Consider the following 20,810-nt stretch of genomic DNA (forward strand, 5'->3'; position numbering starts at 1 on the left):
ATCACTAAAATGTAGATGCAACCAAGCTGTCCTTCAACAGTGAAATGGAAAAACAAGGAAGTCGTCATGCATTACTTGGAATGCAATCAGACTTATAGAGTCTGATTTGATTTTTAGAATGAGATATTAGTAAAAAATAAATCTGAGTAATTTTTGAAACAATAAGAGTTTGAATTTACCTTGCTAAATTATTGTATACTATGATACCAAACCATTTTCTATAGCTGGTAATGCCCGTGATAAGAGGATTTCAAGGGGCTCTGAAATGAATGATCCTTGGGAGTGGACTGCTTCTGTCTCCCAGAGTTGAGTGTCCTCTTAGGCCGCTGAAGGTTGTAAATTAAGATAGGAACCAGCCCTCTTTTAGAAACATTAGATTCCACTGTATCTGCTGGACTATGTGGCCTTTAACCTTCTATTTTCTCAGTACCTTAATTTTCTTCAAAAACCAAATTATGGGTCCACTCAAAAGTCATCCCACCTACTCCTCTTTTGAGCTACTTAGGCAGAGAATGTTTTGTGCAAACTGAAACCCACAAAGAAATCTCCTCTCCATTTTGAAGGAAGTAGGAGTCAAAGTGACCCTTGTCTACTGTGATGCTGAATTCATGACTAAGAGACTATTGGTGAACTTATCCTGGCTGTGATTACAGACGTCAAGAGGGAGTATTCCAGCGACACTAAGAAAATAATGCAAGAGAACGCCAGCGAAGAGTGTAAGCACAATACCTTCTTCCCAAAGTTAACATTTTCATTACTGGCAGTCAGTTAGCCAAGACAGGCTAACTCAATTTTATTTTGCAATAATGTACTATAGCAGAGGTTCCTGGACCTGTGAGTCCATGAGTGGATTTCAATATTTCAAAACATCAAATGGCAGGCATCCATTTCCTGCAAACAAAGTCATGCCTGCCTCACATTTCTCTGCTTTATGATGAAAATATATCAGCCAAACCTGGAGTGCCAGCCATTATCTCATGCTGCTAAGACATCTGCCTGGTAGCTAAATGGCTAAAATCAATCAAAATGGAAACATGAATTATACTAAATACATAAATTTCACCTGGTAGACAGGTAATTTTCAAAACATGGGGTCTTTAAAGGAAAAATCATAAAATAATTGGGAATTTGAGCTTAGAATTAAGATAAACTTGGAAAGACAATTCCTCTACATCTGTTGAATATATATATATACATATATGTGTATATATATACAGATATACATATATACATATGTATACATATATACATATCTATGTGTATATATACGTATACACACATATATGTATATGTATATGTGTATATACATCTGATGATATATATACATATATGTATATGTATATATGTGTATATATATATATATAAAATCAGATAACACACTTGGGATAAATACATAATTTTATGCAAACTCTGCTATGGTCACTTTAACATGGCACTGTGTCAATCCAGCATTCACCCAAATATTGAAAGGAGATGGTAGTGTCCTACAGAATCATCTTCAAATTCTCCACTAGGCTCATGAATTGTAAAGTAGTGGTTTTAAACACAACACCCTGCAGTACACAGTTTGGGTTGGCTCTTCTCTGGATTTCAGCTTCCCCAAATACAAACTAGCAAGTGGAGCCATCCTATGCCCCCTGATAATGGCAGAACCCTGAAGTTGGCAGCCTCTTCAGTTTGCAGGAGAGGATGTGAGAACAGAGAAAACAATGGCTTGCCCAAGGCAAAGTGGCCATTGAGGGACAAATCTAAGACTGGTGCCTATACTCCTCATCTAAGGCCTTAAAAAACAAGCAAACCAGAACTTCTATTTTCTATCACCGTGGCACATCAGGAATTTATGCTCACAAATATGACTCACAGCATCATCCTCCTCCTAAAGCTTGTAAAATGCTCCAGTGCAGCCTTCTGTATTTGTAAATGTTTTTTGGTGTGGAGAGATATGTGGCTGTAACTGAGTAAGGTATGGGCATGCTGTGGTACTTTGTTTATGAGTGTGCAATAATATATGTCAATATCTGTAGTGATCTTGAATGTGTGTGGCAAAAGGAAGTCCAGTTAACTTTTGCTTTCTAATCATGAGTTCCTCTCAACAGGCCCAGGCAACACTGACAGACTAGAAAAAAAATATCAGGAGATGAAGCTGACACAGTGAGAGCAGCCCAGGTGCTTCTTGGTGCTTGTTATTACAGACACACACTTCACACAGGGGAGGATTATTTTAATTCTGTGGCCTTCAGATCTCATAAATACAAGTAAAAACAAGCAGGTAACTATGATAACTTTACTTCAGAGAGTTTAAATTTCAAAAATAAACCTATCCATCCAGCCCCTTCATTTTGTTCTCTTAATGTACACTTTGTCTTCTCTTCAGCTGGGGTTTTCATGCTACTTCAAAGCCATTTCTCCCAACTGCTCATAGAGACAGGCCACCCTCTTGCCACCTGATGCCAGGATGGAATCTGGAGGAGAACCTCTCGTCGGCATGATGCAATCTGGCAGGCCCGCCTTCATTTTCTACCTGGTGTTGCAGTGTGCATTCTGGGTCCTTCCAGAAGCATCCTGAGCTGCTGCCAGGGTCTCACCTTTCATATTCAGATTAAAGCAAGTCCATATTAACACATCCTGCTCTGCATCCAGGCCCATATGCTCATCACACCTTCCATGGGATGCTGAGTAAATCTGAGACTGAATGGAATAATTTTCATGCATGGCCTCCAGCTGCCTCACAGCATCCGTGCCTTCCCTGGAGTCCATTTGGAAACTTTATGTACCTTAGCAAAAGCAAGTGAGGCCCTGTCCATGATTAGTAAGCGGGGGATCATCTGAAAGAGATCTAGAGGTGTCCCTAAGGATTCCCATCAGTGCATCTGCTGATCACCAAGGGTAAGGGGGTAACAGTTGGAACTCAAGGGAAGAGGCAGGGTCTTACAGAAGAGGTAGGCCCAGTCACAAAGGCTTGCTCCCCTAGATTTGACCCAGGTCCCCATGAATGCAGATTCTCTGGAGGGTGACAGAGATATTGCACTAAACACCTGGAACAGTACTGGAGCATAAGCAGCACCATGTTTCTGTCCAGGAGGACCACTATGTGAGGCGGTCTGTCACCCTCTGCATGAAGCACAGCTTTGCTTTAGCTCACTGGGAGGCCCCAAGCATACTGAGGCCTGAGGAAGTGGTGGCATCTGGAATACAGTGATTCCTCAAGGTGAAGGAAGCTGGGAGAGGAAAGGAAGAAAACAGCAGATGACCTCTTGTTCAAGGGCAGCGATGAGTCTCCATGTGGTGTACTCCAGACAAACCGGGTAGGAGAGGGGAGTACACAGGGCATTAGTAGATGTGCGGGGGCAAAGTTGACAAAACCCAGATTTCAGGTAGAAACTGTTGGATTCACTTTTACCTATAGGATTAAATAAGTAAAAAGCCTTGGAGTAAAACGGCTTGGGATTTGCGTCAAGAAAGGAAATTAACATTTCTGAGCACCTACTATATTCAGGAATAGAGTTAACTGCTTTCAAACATATAATTTTCTTTTTGACAACTTGAAAAACAAGTATTAACTGTGCTCACTTTACAGATGAGAAAATGAAGGCTAGGAGGGCTCATGTGACTTGTCCAAGGTCAGCTAGCCAGCAAGCAGTGGCACTGAGATTTAACCCAGTCCCCTCAACTTCAAGATCCACACTCATCCCTTGAGACCACGGCATCTTCACATCTGCCACTAAGTACCTGGCAAAGTTGTTGGCTGATTGGCTGATTTAAAAAAGTAAGCAACTGACTAAGCCGTGTTTCTAGCCCCACTGCCTACATGTTGTGTTATCTTGTATAAATGGCTTGCACTGCTCTGCCGGCCATCTCTTGTAAATTGCATAGCGCCCTTTGCTCCCCCAGTCATTGTTGCTCATCCTCATCATTTCCAGGCAAAGCAGGAACCGCAGAATCTCTCTCCCAGATGGAAATGGAAGTTGTTGCTCTTGACCAAAGGAGTCTGTGGATCCTGTGTACTGTCCAGTAAGCTGTTCCTGATATGGAGAGCACCATACTTTTGGCAACTTCTTTCAGGCTTGGCTACCAAAGGCTTTGCACATCTCTCCTGGCGCTCTTAGATGGAGGTCCGTCTTTGCTGGTGATGAGAAGTGAATCAACAGTTTGCTGGGTAGCCACTGTGGGCCATTATCTCATGTTCTCTTCACAGTGACCCTATGAGGAACATCTTCCATGATCACACGTTAGAGACAGGGTGAGGCGGTGATTAGTAGTGGAGTTGGGATGGAGGCCCAGATTGGGCAGCTCTCTCCTGCATCCCACCCCATTGTTGCTCTGCCTTCCCTCCATTGCTTCCTGCCCCAGTCACCATGTTGCCCTTTGCCTCTCCCCATGAAGGGTGTGGCTGCAGGAGCACCAGGCGAGAGACAGGGCCGGTGTCCAACTGGGGAAGCCGGGAGTTGACATTTCCATGAGTAGTGAGGAGGCTGACATTCTGCCATGGGGGGAGCTAGTCCCAGCTTCCAGGGGCCCAGGTTCCCAAGGAAATAGCTTGGCCTGTATTTAAGACAGAAGCCTCTCAAACTGGGGTCAAAGTAAGGAACACTGCTCCTTTCCACTGACATTTCCAGATTTGGAGATGCAGCGTGCAAAGGAGGATGATGGTAAGCTAGCGTTTGAATGATCAAAGGGCACACTTTGGTGAGAGCAAAGCAGTGTTGAAGGACTTTCTTCTTTCTCTTGACCTTTATTTCCTCCTCCTGGGGTCTGTATGTTCCCTTAACTTAGCCTGACACCTCCATTCACCTCTCTTGCCCAAACTCCTCTCTGTACCTGTGGGCACCTGCCAAGTCTAGAGGCTACAGAAGTAACATGCGGAGGATTTGAATGTTTTTCTTTTTCACCCCATAAGACATGATTATTTTCTAAGAGAAAATTATCCATAGCTACCTCCTTTCTTCATTTTAGGCCAACCAGTTCTCTCAGCTCTCTGCAGGGCAGTAAAAATGCCCTTATTGCTTAGAAACTGTTCATAATTACATCAGTTTCTGGCCATTAAGTCCCATAAGTCTAAAATGTTGAATATAATATAGCTGCTTTGGGAAGTCTTTTAGGCCTGATCCAACTAACTAACTACAACAGCCAGTTCCAAAATAAGTGAGGACACAGTTTTAATTGGCAAAAAATTATGATGTGGACTTTTTGTAGATATAAAAATAAATGGGAGGTTGGCCCAAAGTAAGTTCTGGTGAAATACAGGATCAGGACTACCGTTTTGCCCAGGAGGACCCAAACCAAGCACTTAGAAAAGCACGAGAGCATAGATTTCTAAGGCACTGGCATGAGGATGTCAACTATGGATGTGGCTGGAATTATTTCCTCACAAGAAAAAATACTTGGGGTGGTAACCAAAGTGGGATAGCTTCGGTCATAAGAAGTGAGGAACAGTGTATCTATCACGCAAACCTGATCCAAGCAAATACTAACCAGTCCTTAGGAATGCTATATGGGGTCATAGTGAGCTGTGTATTTGACAACAGAGTCACTGATTTTGTGTTGAGAGTGTTTGTGTGATAGGGAGGGCTCTGAGGTGGGAAACGGGAGGGAGATAAGAGAAAGAGCTTAACAGGGCCTGTTTCCAGCCCCTTCTCTGAACCTCCCACTGGATGGAGGGAAGCAAAGTAGAGCCATGTCAAGTCAACTTGGCTAAAAAAGCCCACAGCTTCCTTCTTTCCCCAGTTCCTCACTCGACAAGGTAAGGATACTATCAGCCACTAAACCACTCTGCAGTGATTCAGCCACTATACATAGGGACAATCAGGAAAATACTCATAATATAAAGTAAAAAAACACACAATATAAAAACATGCATGGACCATGACTGCAAGGATATGCAATAAATATCATACATCCTGAATTTGAGACCTCCAGTGTCGTAAGAAAGTGCCACCAAATCCTCACACCCAAGGCCCTCAGTCTAGTCAAAGGTGGGCAGAAAAGCAATCACAATCACACATGAGATGCATACACATGAAAAGCTCTTTTGGCAACTGTAAAGGATCCTACAAATATTAGCATGATTCTATGGTCAATAGGACAGTGTGTATTGAGCACCTATGTGTTGGACTCTGTTTAGATTCTGGAGAAATAGCAGGGGGTGCCGGGTGTCAAGTCAGAGCTTCCACCTTGAGAAACACAATTAAAAAGTAAACAAATACAATAATTTGAGATGCTGATAGGTGTCATGAAGAAAGTAAAGGAGGGGAGAGAAGAACAATGGTGTGAGGTCAGCCAGGACAGTCTCCCTGAGGAGGTGACACATAAGCCAAGGGTAGAATGATGAGAAAGAACCAGCCATGAGAACATGTGAGGGACTTATATTGTAAAAAGGGGTGATAGCAGCAACCATGAAGGCCTGAAGTGGGAACAGGTGAGGCAGAGATTTTTTAAAGGTTGCAGAAGCAGGGACCAGCTGGAAGCCAGAAGCCAGTTAGGAGGGACTTTGGGAATGGTCCAGGTGAGAGGCAACAGGATGAGGCACAACATCCAGGAACTCACATGCCAGCGCCAGATCCCTAACCACGCTGACACAGTGCCTCCTCCCCTGCCTTCCAATGACCCTTCAATTGAGCAGAGGTAAGATGCCGTGTGGCCCTTTGTCCTCAGTGGCAGAAGCAGTGCCTTGGTGGAGGTGTGAGCCAGCAGGTGGCTGTTGGGGTGGGCATGCCACATAAGCCACGCATTTTAGACCCTCTCTTGTAGGGCTAAATGCTGAAATAGTCCCATTCTGAGCAAACAGGAGAAGAGTCTGCCTCATCAACCATATGGAAACAGAACCTGTGAGATTCCTATCAGAAATAAAGTCACTCAAGTACTCTTCAAAGAAGGGGAAAAAAAGAGTTTCCATTTGAAAATGGGCAATATGATTACATATTCTCTGATTTGGAAGGAGATGGATTAATCGACAATTATAAGCAATCTCTTCAACAGATTATATTAGATGAGCATTCTATTTTTTGGTAACTTTTAATACATGGTGGAATTTTTACGTGAAGTCTTCAGCCTCTCCTTGAAACTCATGTTACAACTGGAGGAAAAAGTCAGTCAGTTATGGCCAGCTGTAATTTCTGCCCTTAATAACATGCTCTACTGAGCAAAAACACCTCTGCTGCAGTGAATCCCCAGTGTGGAAGGGAGACTTGTGACAGGGCACAGGGCTGGGGCCTAAGACCTAATCCCCACAGGCCCTCAGAGAAACCACCATAAAGAACTCCAGAGGCATCAAGTTGGGATTTATAAGGCAGGACAGAAGGACTCCACGACTTTGGGACACGAGGTGGCCAGGCCTGGAGAGTGGAGGCTGGGCCAGCACTGCAGAATCCTCAGCCTGGACTGGGCACCGAGCCTCAGTCAGGAGGGCAGGTAGGGGACCATCTCAGATCCACGGCCACAGGGGGCCACGGCCAGCCAAAGTGTGAACCCAAGGTGGCCAGCTCTGAGAATGATCTGCATGCTTCCTAGGACTGAGGGCAGCCACGTTTGTGAGACACACCGTCACCTCGGGCCCTTGCTGAGCATGAGTCACAGCCAGGCGGAGTGCAGCTGGGCACCCACTGGAAACAGCTGGTAGGGCCACGCAAACTCAGTCATTTGCTCTGTCCTCCAGACTTCACCTCATACTTCTGTGGCTCTCTAATGAAACATTAGGGGCCGCCAAAATTCCTTCAAATTAATAAAATTGGGAGGAAAATAAAATGGAAAGGAAAATTGAAGCACACTTGGTTTACATTATTAAAGCCGTCAGGCACCAATTAATCAAAATCTAGGCCTGATATTGACTACTGGACAGCTGAAAATTCCCATGGTGGCTGTTATTTTTGTTGAGGGACTTGATCAAATACCGACTCCATTTGGAAACATTTTATAATGACCGTTTTCAGAAAATGAGCAGCCCCTTTGAGAGATCTCACCCTTCCCTCCCTAAGGCAGGGCCACAGCTTTGAGGACGTTTTTTGCGAAGCCTTTGAGAGTCTGGCTCCAGGAGAAGGGAAGGGAATCGTGAAATCTGTGGGTTTTTACCTCCAAGAGACAGGTCCACTGTCAGCTGACCCAAAAGCATCCATTCTGCACAGCTTGGTGGTGACAAGTAGCTATGTGTGTGGTAGGGGCTTGGAAAACTCCCAGGAGGCATCTGCTGGTCCACACACCCCCTGCTCTGGGTGAATCAGAGGACCACACAGGACCCAGCAGAATGTGTATGCACAGGAAATAACTTTCTGGCTAAGTGTCAAATCGGCCTTGAGATAAAATTAACTGAAGCAAGGTCTCCCAGGCCTCCAAGGGCAACATCAAAGAGCCCGGATATTCCTCTCTAAAAGGCTTTGACAGGCTGAGTGGACCAACCTCCTCAGGCCTCTGCTCTTTATACTTGTGGACAGGCCCAGCCAGAGCAGCGGCTGGTGCAGGTAGCAGGACAGGGTTGGGATCCTGGACTCAAAGGAGTTGTGACCACCATGTAGCAATCACTCCTTCTGGGCAACCCTGGGCACTTGAACAGGACAGCAGAGCTATGGTCCAACTGAATCTCTAATGGGTGAAGCTGATTCTAGAAAAGCCTCAGGCTGGCTGCAGACTCTGCTTACACATTTTTTTGCAGAGCAGAGAAGGATGCATAAAGAGAGGTCTCACAGAGTCAAGGTCCCAGAGCACTGAGACCACTGAGACCAAGAGAGACTCCCTCCCAGTCCAGGTGAGCTACCACGGGGGAATTCTCACGCACAGGCTGTTTGGCTGCAAATACGCTGGACTTTGTCATTGTTTCTTTGCATTTTTCTTGATGGCTTATAATACAAGGTTAGGTCTCTTGGAAGCCTAAGAAGATTATCCAAAAAGGCTGTTTTCAGTTGGGTTAGAGTGTAAATAGCATACAAGTGCTTCATGAACCCCAGTTCAAATTCAAAGGTATTCTTAGAAGGTTTTCATTAAATAAAGGCAGGAAAATAAATTAAGACCAAGAAAATGATTTCAACAGAGGGGTGAAGGGGGAGCTCCTATTCTTCCTTCTTACTGAAGTGCTTCATCCAAACAGCCTCCTTTACTTCCATGGTCCCTTAAAACCACTTTGCTAGGAGTCGACTTATGTGGAGCAAAGGCAATACTAATGGAGGGTGTGGCTCCTCTGTGGCCACTAAGTGGAAAATATAACCCTCTTGCCAGCTACCTCATGTGGCAAGTGTGTGTGTGTGAGTAAATCTGTGTCTCTATTGGGGGGGGGGGGTTTAAGGCTTTTTTTTTTTTTGCTTTTAAGTTCCAGGATACATGTACAGTACATGCAGGTTGGTTACATAGGTATACGTGTGCCACGGTGGTCTGATGCAGCTATTGACCCGTCTTCTAAGTTGCCTCCCCTTGCCCCGCATCCCCCAACAGGCCCTGGTGTGTGATGTTCCCCTCTCTGTGTCCATGTATTCTCATTGTTCAACTCCCACTTATGAGTGAGAACATGCAATATTTGGTCTTCTGTTCCTGTGTTAGTTTGCTGAGGATGATGGCTTCCAGCTTCATCCATGTCCCTGCAAAGGACATGATCTTATTCCTTTTTATGGCTGCATAGTACTCCATGGTGTATATGTACCACATTTTCTTTATCCGGTCTATCATTGGTGGGCATTTGGGTTGGTTCCATGACTTTGCTATTGTAACTAGTACTGCAATAAACATACGTGTGCATGTGTCTCTATAGTAGAATGACTTATATTCCTTTGGGTATATACCCAGTAATGGTATTGCTGGGTCAAATGGTGTTTCTGATTCTAGATCCTTTAAAACTTATCTTGGACACACTCATTTACCCTGAAATAGAGGATATGATGGATGCTAAAAAGGTGACAGTTCTAAATGCCCTACCACTATAAATTCTGCATGACTCTTAGAGCCTAATTTGACATCAGCCACAGTGAAAAGTCCTTAACATGCACTCCTCCTGTCCACACCAGATCAATGAGTCCTGCTGCTACTCTCGTTTACAGATGAGGAAACTGTCACCTCAGGAGGCAAAGTGACTAGCCATGGTCTTCCTGACTTCGAATCCTTGATCTCAACCATCAAAGGACACTGAGAAAGAATGAAGGAGTCAGCAGTTGTAGCTGAGATGTCTACCAGATTGAGAGAGCCCGTGAAATAGGAGTCCAACTGTAGCTGTGTTTGATTCAGTGGCTTCATGGCACAGCCGACTACTTCACATTCATATTCCTCAACTGGGGGTGATTTTGACCCCCAGGAGACATTTGGCAATGTCTGGAAACACTTTTGGTGGTCACAACTGGGGATAAGGGGAGGTGGACTGGCATCTAATGGGTAGAGCCAGAAATGCTGCTATACACTCCATATTGCACAGGACAGTCCCCATGATAAAGAATTATCTGACTCACAATGTCAATAGTGCCGAGGTTGAGAAACCATAGGCTAGACCATCTGATCCATGCTGAGTCACGCTGTGTTGCCTTCTCATGTTACATCAGGATGCCTTTCTTTGAAAGGTTACTAACCACCCTCCCCACTGGACTACAAACCCTTCTTTTCCTCTCTCCTGAGGTTGAAGTCTTGGACCAGCCTTTCTTCCAACACATAATACTCTTACTTCTGCGGTACTTGGGTCAGTGGCTATCACTTGGTTATATCCTGTCCCAGGGTGAACTTGTGCTTCAAGGTCCTTCTGGGCTGCCCAAGGCAGAGAGGTTCTGGCAGACTACCCTTAAATGCCTCACACTCGGCAGGGCATGGTGGCTTATGCCTGTAATCCCAGCACTTTGGGAGACCGAGGCGGGCAGATCATTTGTGGTCAGGAGTTCGAGACCAGTCTGGCCAACATGGTGAAACCCCATCTCTACTAAAAATGCAAAAATTAGCTGGGAATGGTGGTGTGCACCTGCAGTTCCAGCTACTCGGGAGGCTGAGGCAGGAGAACGCTTGAACCCGGGAGATGGAGGCTGCAGTGAGCCGAGATCGCACACTGCACTCCAGCCTGGGTGACAGAGCAAGACTCCGTCTCACACACACACAAAAAAAAAAAAAAAAAAAAAGCCCCACACTCCACCCTCTTCCCAGAAAGTAAAGACGCAGCTCTTCAGATGAAGGCTTTCCACACAGCTGCTACAGAGCCAGCAAGGAGCAGCCTTCAGATGCAGCTCGCGAAGGCCCACCCTCAGCTGCTCCCTGGACCAAGCGCTCACTGGCCACGCTGACCCAACCAACCCAGAAGAGAGACTGTATAGCCTGACTAACTGGCACACACTTGTCACCAGGTAGTTCTTTTCCCCATATGATCCACTTGAGTGAGAATTTGAAACAAGCTTTATTACACACCTCTGAAATTAGCTCTGTATGAGTTTTAGAACATATCAGGATTCTGGCAAAAAGATGTGTGATGAGCAGGACTATTTTGTATTTAGGGTATAATCACTCACAAGTATCCCTTGTAAATGGATAATTCCATCCACCCCCATTAACTTCACTACTAATTTCAATGCAAATCCATGAAAGGAATAAGGTTCCCAGCTGGCAGGAATGTCACATATCGCTCAACATGTCCTTTTACAGGAAATCCTACAAGCAGAGACCTGGCCTATGGTAGATAAATGAGCTCCAGGAATTGATGGTCCTGTACAACAGCACAGTCTTCCAACATCTGGATGAGGTGGCAGAATGCAGCATGATCCAAAGGCTCCCTTAATTGAGGATATTAGGAGGCTACAGTCCATTTCACCCCATTACAAAATGGTGCCATGAGTCAGATGCTACTATTATGAGATACTTTGGTTCATGATAATGAAACATGAGTTAAGGTCATAAGGATTCTAAAGTTGTTTTAATGAAATACAATGTATAAAGATGCAAATTTATGAAAAACAAATTATTATATAGATTATCTACATAAGAGAAGGACCTTCATAGCATCCTTATAAATAGTACAATCTCAATAGTACAAACTTAAAGTTATCCAAATGTAAACATTTGGTTCTACCATTTCTTATAAAGTTAAGTTACCTAATAAAGTGTACAATAAAGTACTTGCACATGACTAATTAAAGAGATGCTGGGGAAAATCCTTAACTCTTTGGGGACTCATCTTTTTGCTACCCTTGGTACTTTGTGATGACTCTACCTCTAGTTGAAAGGTGCAATGAAAATACTATTATCAGTATGAACTGACATGTGCGAAAATTATAAAGTAGACTGTTTTCTATATAAGTTGGAATATATATGTATCATATTAGGATACATACACACACACACAGCATAAACAGACATATACAGCCTAAGATAAGGATGAGCAAAGTTGTTAGCTAAAGTTGGAGGTCATGATATTACTCAGAGAAAAAAAGCGATCTGTCATATGAAATAAAAACTACCTGCTCAAACACAAGGCCCAGAGTCCAGAGAAAAGAGGTGGTGATGCGGCACAGTCAGGCGGGGGAGGATACAAACCCCTAACCAGGAAAGAGTGTGAGAGCTGGGGCTGGAGAGTCATGCTAAGTACTCAATCCATCATTCCCAACCCAGCTGGGGAGCTGTGACTTTGAAGCAAGCCCCTGACTGGCTCCATGTATGTCCACAACTGTCCACTCTTCTCCCCATGGGCCCTAGAGTTGTCCTGCACATTTGTGGGGTCTGGGTCCTTAGAGTCACGAAGCAGAAACAAAGATCTTAAGCCCTTTTCCTTTTCTCTCTATCCCTTTTTTAGTTTTTGTTGTTTTTCTCTGGGTATACAAGCAATAGGGAAGGAATTACCATTTTAAAGTTCAACCTTCTGGATCCAAGGTGGCTTTAGAGGCACATCCTGTTAGTAGCTGGTAATGGTAAGAGCTAACAAGTATTGAGTGCTTACTGTATGCCAGGTACTGTTCTGAAAACTTAGAAATGAATTAGCTCATTTAAGCTTCTGTTAAATACTACTAATGTCCTCATTTTATACGACGAGATCGTGGCAGAAAGGTTAAGTTTCTAAAGAAATAATTAAAAACCTTCCATGGAGTAATTAAAATTTAAATCCCATAAAATGACAAAGTCTGAGAGTAGAGTACATTTTTTACTTCTGTTTATTCATTCGTTCACCAGCAAAAATTATTACAGTAACTTTTTTTCTAAATATAACCATCTTTCTAAACTATTTCTTTAAAGATATACTATTTATATTGACATTGTTTTTACCTAGTTGTTGCAGGGCTTATAAAACTGTGTTTTCTATATTTTTCTATGTCCTTTTTCTATGTCTTTCTCACATTCTACTCTGTCTTAATATACTAATTTTTAACAGCTTTACTGAAGTTTAACTGACATATAGTAAACTATACAATTTGCTAAGTTTGGATATACGTATACAATTGTGAAACCAACACCACATCAAGACAGTGAATATATCCATCATTCCTCATGCCCGTTTGTAATCTCTACCTTCTTCTCCCCACACCCAACTCCACCTTGCAGGTACCCACTGATTTCCTTTCTGTCGTCATATGCTACTTTGCATATCCTAAAACTTTATATAAATGGAATCATACCATATATATTCTTCTCTGGCTTCCTTCATAAACCATAATTATTTTGAGATTTATCCATATTATAGCATGTATCAATAGTTCTTTTTTTTTTTTTTTTGAGACAAAGTTTCACTCTGTTGCCCAGGCTGGAGTACAGTGGTGTGATCTTGGCTCACTGCAACCTCTGCCTCCTGGGTTCAAGCGATTCTTGTGCCTCAGCCTTCCTCTGAGTAGCTAGGATTACAGGCGCCTGCCACCACACTCGGCTAAGTTTTGTATTTTACTAGAGACGGAGTTTCACGATGTTGGCCAGGCTGGTCTCAAACTCCTGACCTCAGGTGATCCACCTGCCTCGGCCTCCCAAAGTGTTGGGATTACAGGCGTGAGCCACTGCAGCTGGCCTACTTCATTCATTTTTATTGCTGAGTAGTATTCTATTGTTTGGATACATCACAGTTTGTCTGATCACCTATTGATTGACATTTGGATTGTTTCCAGATTTGGGCTATTACAAATAAGGCTACTATGAACCCTCATGATTTATATTGAGAACATCATGGTAGTGTAGTTACCATTTCTGATGCTTCTCATTCCTTTGTGCAGATCCAGATTTCTTATTTTTTACTTTTTTATTTTACTTTTTGAGATGGAGTCTCCCTTTGTCACCCAGGCTGGAGTGCAGTGGCATGATCGCGGCTCACTGCAACCTCTGCCTCCCAGGTTCAAGTGATTCTTGTGCCTCAGCCTCCGGAGTAGCTGGAATTGCAGGCATGTGCCACAACACCCAGCTAACTTTTGTATTTTTAGTAGAGATGGGGTTTTGCCATGTTGGCCAGGCTAGTCTCAAACAACTGACCTCAAGTGATCCACCTGCCTCAGCCTCCCAAAGTGCTGGGATTACAGGTGTGAGCCACTGTGCCTGGCCCCAGATTTTAATTTGGTATCATTTTCCTTCTGCCTGAAGGGCTTCCTGTAGTACCAGTCTGCTGGTAATAAATTACTTTACCTTCTGTATACCTGAAAATGTCTTTTGTTGCTTTCAATTTTGAAAGTTTTTTTTTTTTTTTTTTTTTTTTTGCTGGAAATGGAATTCTAGGTTGACAGTTTCTTCCCCCCTCACCCCGCTTTCAATAAAGACGTTGCTTCCTTGTATTCTCACTTGCACTGTTTATAAGAATGTGCCATTATCCTTTGTTCCTCTGCATGTAATGCTTCCTTTTCCACTGGCTGCTTTAAAGATTTTCTCTTTACTACTGGTTTTGTGCAATTTGATCATGATATACCTTGGTGTATTTTTTTTTTTTATGTTTCTAGTGCTTGAGGTTCATTGAGTATATTGGATCTATGGGTTTATAGTTTTCATGAAATTTAGAAAAATTTCAAGCATTATTCCTTCAAATATTTTTGCTACTCTCTTCCATTCTCCCTCTTTCATTAGCTCCAATCACACATGTTAGGACACTTAAAGTTATCCAACAGTTATCTTTATTTATTTCTGTGTTTCATTTTGGATAGCTTCTATACGTTCACACTCAGTAATTTTTCTTCTGCAATATCTAATCTACTGTTAATACCATCCCATGTATTTTTTCCTCAGATATTATAGTTTTCATTTCTAAAAGTTTTCCTTAGGTCTTTTTTCATATCCTCCATGTCTCTGGCTAAAATTTTTGAACATATGGAATAGAGTTGTAACTTTTAACATCCTTGCCTGCCCATTCTAATGTCTGTGTCACTTCTGGATTGGCTTTGATAGACTGTATTTTTCTGCCTCTTTGCATGCCTTATAATCTTTTATTATGAAATTATAAAATTGTATAACATTATAAAATTTACCTTATTGGGTACTTGATATTTTTGTATTCCTAAAAATACTCTTGATCTTTGCTTTCAAATACAGCTGAATTACTAGAAACATTTTGTTTTTTTGAGGTCTTGCTTTTCTGATTTTCTAGGCAAGTCTGAAGCAGTGCTCAATCTAGGACAAATTATTTCCCCTGTTGAGGCAAGACCCTTCTGTGTATTCTACCCTATGCCCCAGGAACTATAAGGTTTTCTAGTTTGCCTGGTGGGAATGGGCACTATTCCTGGCCCTGTACCAGCATGGGGCATTGTTCCCTTTAATCCCTTTGGATGGCTCTTTTCCTGACCTCACATACAGGCACTGATCAGTACTGCTGAAATACTCAAGAGAAACCATCCATACATTTCCAGGGTTCCGCTCCAGTACTGTGTACTATTGAACACTAGCTGTCTTGGTCTCTCTGGACTCAGCTCTGTCTTCTGAACATGGAATCTGTTGGGCCCCACCTCAGTTCCTCTCTCCTATAGTTTAGATACGATTTGTTTGGTCCCATCAAACCTCATGTTGAAATTTGATTGCTAGAGTGGGGGTGTGGGGAGGTGGGGCCTAGTGGGAGGTGTTTGGGTAATGAATGGAGTGGATCGCTCATGAATGGCTTGGGGCTATTCTAGCAGTAGTGAGTTCTTGCTTTTGCAAGACTAAATTAGTTCTCACCAGAATGGACTGGTTCCTGTGAGAGTGGGTTGTTATAAAGCCCCTCAGATTTCCCTCTCTTCACATATGTCTGCTTCCTCCTTGACCTTCTATACCATGTTGTGATACAGCACAAAAGCCCACACCAGAAGCCAGGCCATGCCCTTGAACTACCTTAACCTGCAAAACCGTGGGCGAAATAAACCTCTTTTCTTTATAAATTACCCAGTCTCAGGTATTTTTTTTTTATACTAACACAAAACAAACTAAAGACACCCTCCATATGCTGTGGCCTGTAAACTCTCAAGGCAGTAAGCTGAGGCAATCATAGGACTCACCTGTTTTGTGTGCCATCTCTCAGAGGTCACTATCTTTCACTGCCTGGTGTCCAGTGTCTTGAAAGCCATTGTTTTCTGTATTTTTTTTCCTCTTCTTTTGGCTGTTTCAAGGCAGGAGGGTAAATTTGGGCCCTATTACTCCATCTTGACCAGATACGGAAATTCTCATGGTTGGATACCTGTGATATTTCCAGGTTTCACTTTTGTGCATGTGCATTGGTTTGCCATATATTTTAAGGCTCCACAGTAACACAGACAGCCACTAGTAATTGTTCCCTAAAAATTCTGTGTGGGAATGTCTGAGATGTTTGTGCTCTGCGCTGCCCACTTATCTGACTCTGATACACATCAGTTCAGTCACAGTGGTAATGTTTTCTCTCAAAAAACACAAATTAATCAACTTTTGAAAAAGGTCTAGGGACAGACTCATGGATTTAAAGATGAGTGGCAGCCACAGAACCTTAAATTAAATTGTTATAAGACTATTTTGGCACAGATACAGCCCAATTATTGTGGGCCTTGGCCTAGAATACACGGTTATGACTATATTGAAGCAGAATAAAATTTTGGTGGGCTTGATTTATTAGTTCCCTTAGATTTCTGATATGCCAAACAACCAAAACAGTCAATTCTACTCTATGGAGCTGTGTTCCAATTTGATATTGCTCCAATTTGCTGGCATTTCTCTGAGTCTCATGTATCTCGTGGATTCATGTACCAAGGACTTCTATTTATGTGGTGGCAGGGAAGATAAAAGATTATGAGAAAAGATGCCTCCATGACAGCTACCCGACTCTGCTAAGCCTTTGGATGCAGTGCACTTTCTACTAATGATTCTATGTGGGAATGCCTGAGACATCTGTGCTCTACACTGCCCACTAAACTGGCTCAGAGGCTAACATTCCAATGGGGCCAAAGTACAGTGAACTGGGTTGTCCCACAATCCTCATGAGAAAGACACAGGCAATCTTGTACAGCCTGTGGTGCTTGGGAAACACCCTAGAAGAAGTGACTTATCTATTACTTCCCATAAAGAATGTTTGGACAGTGACAAAGCAGAGTTACTCATGTGTCATTGCTACTTGGGCTTTGGGGATCCTCTGGATCAGTGATCCATTACTACAGAGGAGACCTAGAAGTTCTCTTTACCTTCTGCCAAGTTAGAAACAATTTGCTGGTTGCAAAGAACAGTTCTATAGCACTTTGTTAAGGGTTACAGTAAAGCACTGGTATGGGTTTTGCTTTTGAAAGTATTTGTCTTATTTGACCTGATATTTAGGTGATTTTGAAGCAAACCATTAAGTACACAGAAACAAAACATTAGATCAAAAGATCCAACTTAAAAAGAATGCCTACAAGATCAAAGCCTCTGTTCATCCTCTCTTCCTGCAGGAGTGTCTAGCAGAGGGAGAAAACATTTCTTTTGAGAAATACCCTTTTCAAAGAAAGATTAGAATCTGGCTTTAAGAGAATGGCCAAAGGGTGGGGAGATAGGGGGTGGGAAAAAATCAGTAATGGCATTCAGAGCAAACTTTTTCAGCTACCAGTCCTGACAAGTTGGCATATCCATCAGATGTCTGAATGCTCATGATAGAACAGCCCAGCTACTGGTGAACTTACTTAGAATCTTTCTAACATTTCCAGAGTCCAAGGTGACACCATCTCCCCAAGAAATGTACAGTTCTGCCATTCCCTCCAACTAAGATCAACCCAGCTGCTGCTGCCATCAGCTCCCAGGCAGAACAGGTGGTTAATGATCTGTCCTCATTGGGTATGGGCTTTGTCTATGGATGTATTAAAGAAGGAATATCAACAAAGAATGGGACATCCATGATGCAGAAAGGATGAAGAATTAGCTCCTTTGCCAGCTTCTGATTCCATTCCACAATGACAGAATAGGTAACAAACAGGACTACTGCTGATACCCAGGGGTATGGTTTAGCATCTCAGAAGAGAAAAATGAGCTAGAGAATATGTGTCTGTAAACATCAGATATCTGCCATGCAATGGCTCACCTCAAACTGTGAGAGTTTCAATGCACTGACTAGTTGGTTCTTTCATTCTCCTATAGTTATCTGATGATAGTAAGTAAGGAACACATTTGGCACCCTTACCCCAACTCCAATTTAACAAAAGACTCCTTTCTTCAGAGCTCTGAGGAAACTCTGTCTTCTAGTTACCTTTCCGGACCTTCGAGTCTCCCTCCAGGGCAAACCTTTCACTTCAGATCTTGAGAATCTGTGTTCTCAATTTGTCCCATGACTCAAAGTTTTGGACTCTTCCTTATTCCTTGGACCATCCAGGGGAAAGCTCCAGCCCTTGCACCCTTCACGAGGCTGAGAGGGGACGTCAGAGGATAAAAACATGTGATAGAAAAAGAATAAAAGCTCAAGACAGATTGACTGAAAGGAAAACCTCAGAGCTGAAACAGCTCTTTGTCTTCAGTCTTTTTTAGTATATGACAGGAATGTAACTACATAAAAATTGCATTCTGCAAGGAAACAGCTAATTATAAACAGAACAAAAAAGGAAACAAGAAACTGGGAAAATAGTTGTAACATTTCTCACAAAGGGTTTGGGTGTTTTCCTAGTAAAGAACTCCTGCAAATCAATAAGTATAAGGTCAACTCAAAGAAACTGGGCAAAACATTAAAAGACAATGAACTACATAAAACACATTCACATGACTTTTAGATAGGAATTTGTGCTTAATCTCACAGTAGCATACAAATTAAAACAATGCAAGATTAACCAAGAAAAGAAGAGATAAAATCCAAATAACCTCACTAAGAAACAAAACAGGAGATATTACAACTGACACAACTGAAATACAAAAGGCTACTATGAACACCTTTACACACATAAACTAGAAAACCTAGAAGAGATGGATAAATTCCTGGAAAAATACAACCCTCTTGAATCAGGAAGAACTAGATACCCTGAAAAGACCAATAAAAAGCAGTGAGACTGAAATGGTAATTAAAAAATTACCACCAAAAAATGTCCAGGACCAGATGAATTCACAGCAGACTTCTATCAGACATTCAAAGAAGAATTGGTACCAATCCTTTTGACACTATCCCACAAGATAACAAAAGAAGGAACCCTCCCTAATTCATTCTATGAAGCCAGCATCACCCTAATACCAAAACCAGGAAAGGACATAACCAAAAAAGAAAACTACAGACCGATATCCCTGATGAACATAAATGCTGAAATCCTTAACAAAATACTAGCTATCTGAATCCAACAACATATCAGAAAGATAATCCACCATGATCAAGTGGGTTTCATATTAGGGATGGAGGGATGGCTTAACATATGCAAGTCAATAAATGTCATATACCACATAACAGAATTAAAAACAAAAATCACATGATCATCTCAAGAGATGCAGAAAAAGCATTTGATAAAATGCAGCATCCCTTTATGATTGAAACTCAGCAAAAGCGGCATAAAAGGGACATACCTCAATGTAATAAAAGCCATCTATGACAAGCCCACAGCTAACATAATACTGAATGGGGAAAAGATGAAAGCATTTCCTCTGAGAACTGGAACAAGACAAGGAGGCCCACTCTCACCACTCCTCTTCAGCATAGTACTGGAAATAAAGGGCATCCAAATTGGTAAACAGTAAGTTAAACTGTCACTGTTTGCTGATGATATGATCACTTACCTTAAAAACCCTAGGGGTTTTTGCTTCCAAGATGGCCAAATGGGAACAGCTCTACTCTGCAGCTCCCAGTGAGATCGATGCAGAAGACAGGTGATTTCTGCATTTCCAACTGAGGTACCTGGTTCTTCTCATGGGATGCACATGGGTGCAGCCCATGGAGAGTGCGCCGAAGCAGGGCGGGGTGTCGCCTCACCTGGGAGGCACAAGGGGTCGGGGGATTTCCCTTTCCTACCCAAGGGAAGCCATCATAGTCTGTACCTGAAAAAAACGGGACACTCCTGCCCAAACACTGCACTTTTCCCACAGTCTTAGCAGCCAGCAGACCAGGAGATTCCCTCCCGTGCCTGGCTCGGTAGGTCCCACGCCCACAGAGCCTAGCTCACTGCTAGCGCAGCAGTCTGGGATCAACCTGTAAGGCTGCAGCCCGGTTGGGGGAGGGGTGTCCGTCATTGCTGAGGCTTGAGTAGGTAAACACAGGGGCCAGGAAGTGCGAACTGGGCAGAGCCCACTACAGCTCAGCAAGACCTACTGCCTCTATAGATTCCACCCCTGTGGGCAGGGCATAGCTGAACAAAAGGCAGCAGACAACTTCTGTAGACTTAAACGTCCCTGGCTGACAGCTCTGAAGAGAGCAGTGGTTCACCCAGCATGGCATTCGAGCTCTGAGAACACACAGACTGCCTCCTCAAGTGGGTCGCTGACCCCTGTGTAGCCTGGCTGGGAGACACCTCCCAGTAGGGGCCAACAGATACCTCGTACAGGCAGGTGCCCCT

At 43.0% G+C, this 20,810-nt stretch overlaps 1 protein-coding gene and 1 long non-coding RNA gene across 6 annotated transcripts in view; one reads left to right on the top strand and one right to left on the bottom strand.

Annotated features, from left to right (window-relative positions):
* Positions 1 to 20,810, bottom strand: part of ULK4 (unc-51 like kinase 4) — a 715,505-nt gene that overhangs the window by 11,170 nt on the left and 683,525 nt on the right. The window lies entirely within an intron of this gene.
* LOC105377046 (uncharacterized) lies at positions 67 to 7,954 on the top strand. The gene is made up of 3 exons (XR_001740666.3): positions 67 to 716; positions 2,097 to 2,269; positions 3,578 to 7,954. It is a non-coding gene; the product is annotated as an uncharacterized LOC105377046 (long non-coding RNA).

This window comes from Homo sapiens, chromosome 3 (assembly GCF_000001405.40).
Source record: "Homo sapiens chromosome 3, GRCh38.p14 Primary Assembly".
NCBI lineage: Eukaryota > Metazoa > Chordata > Mammalia > Primates > Hominidae > Homo > Homo sapiens.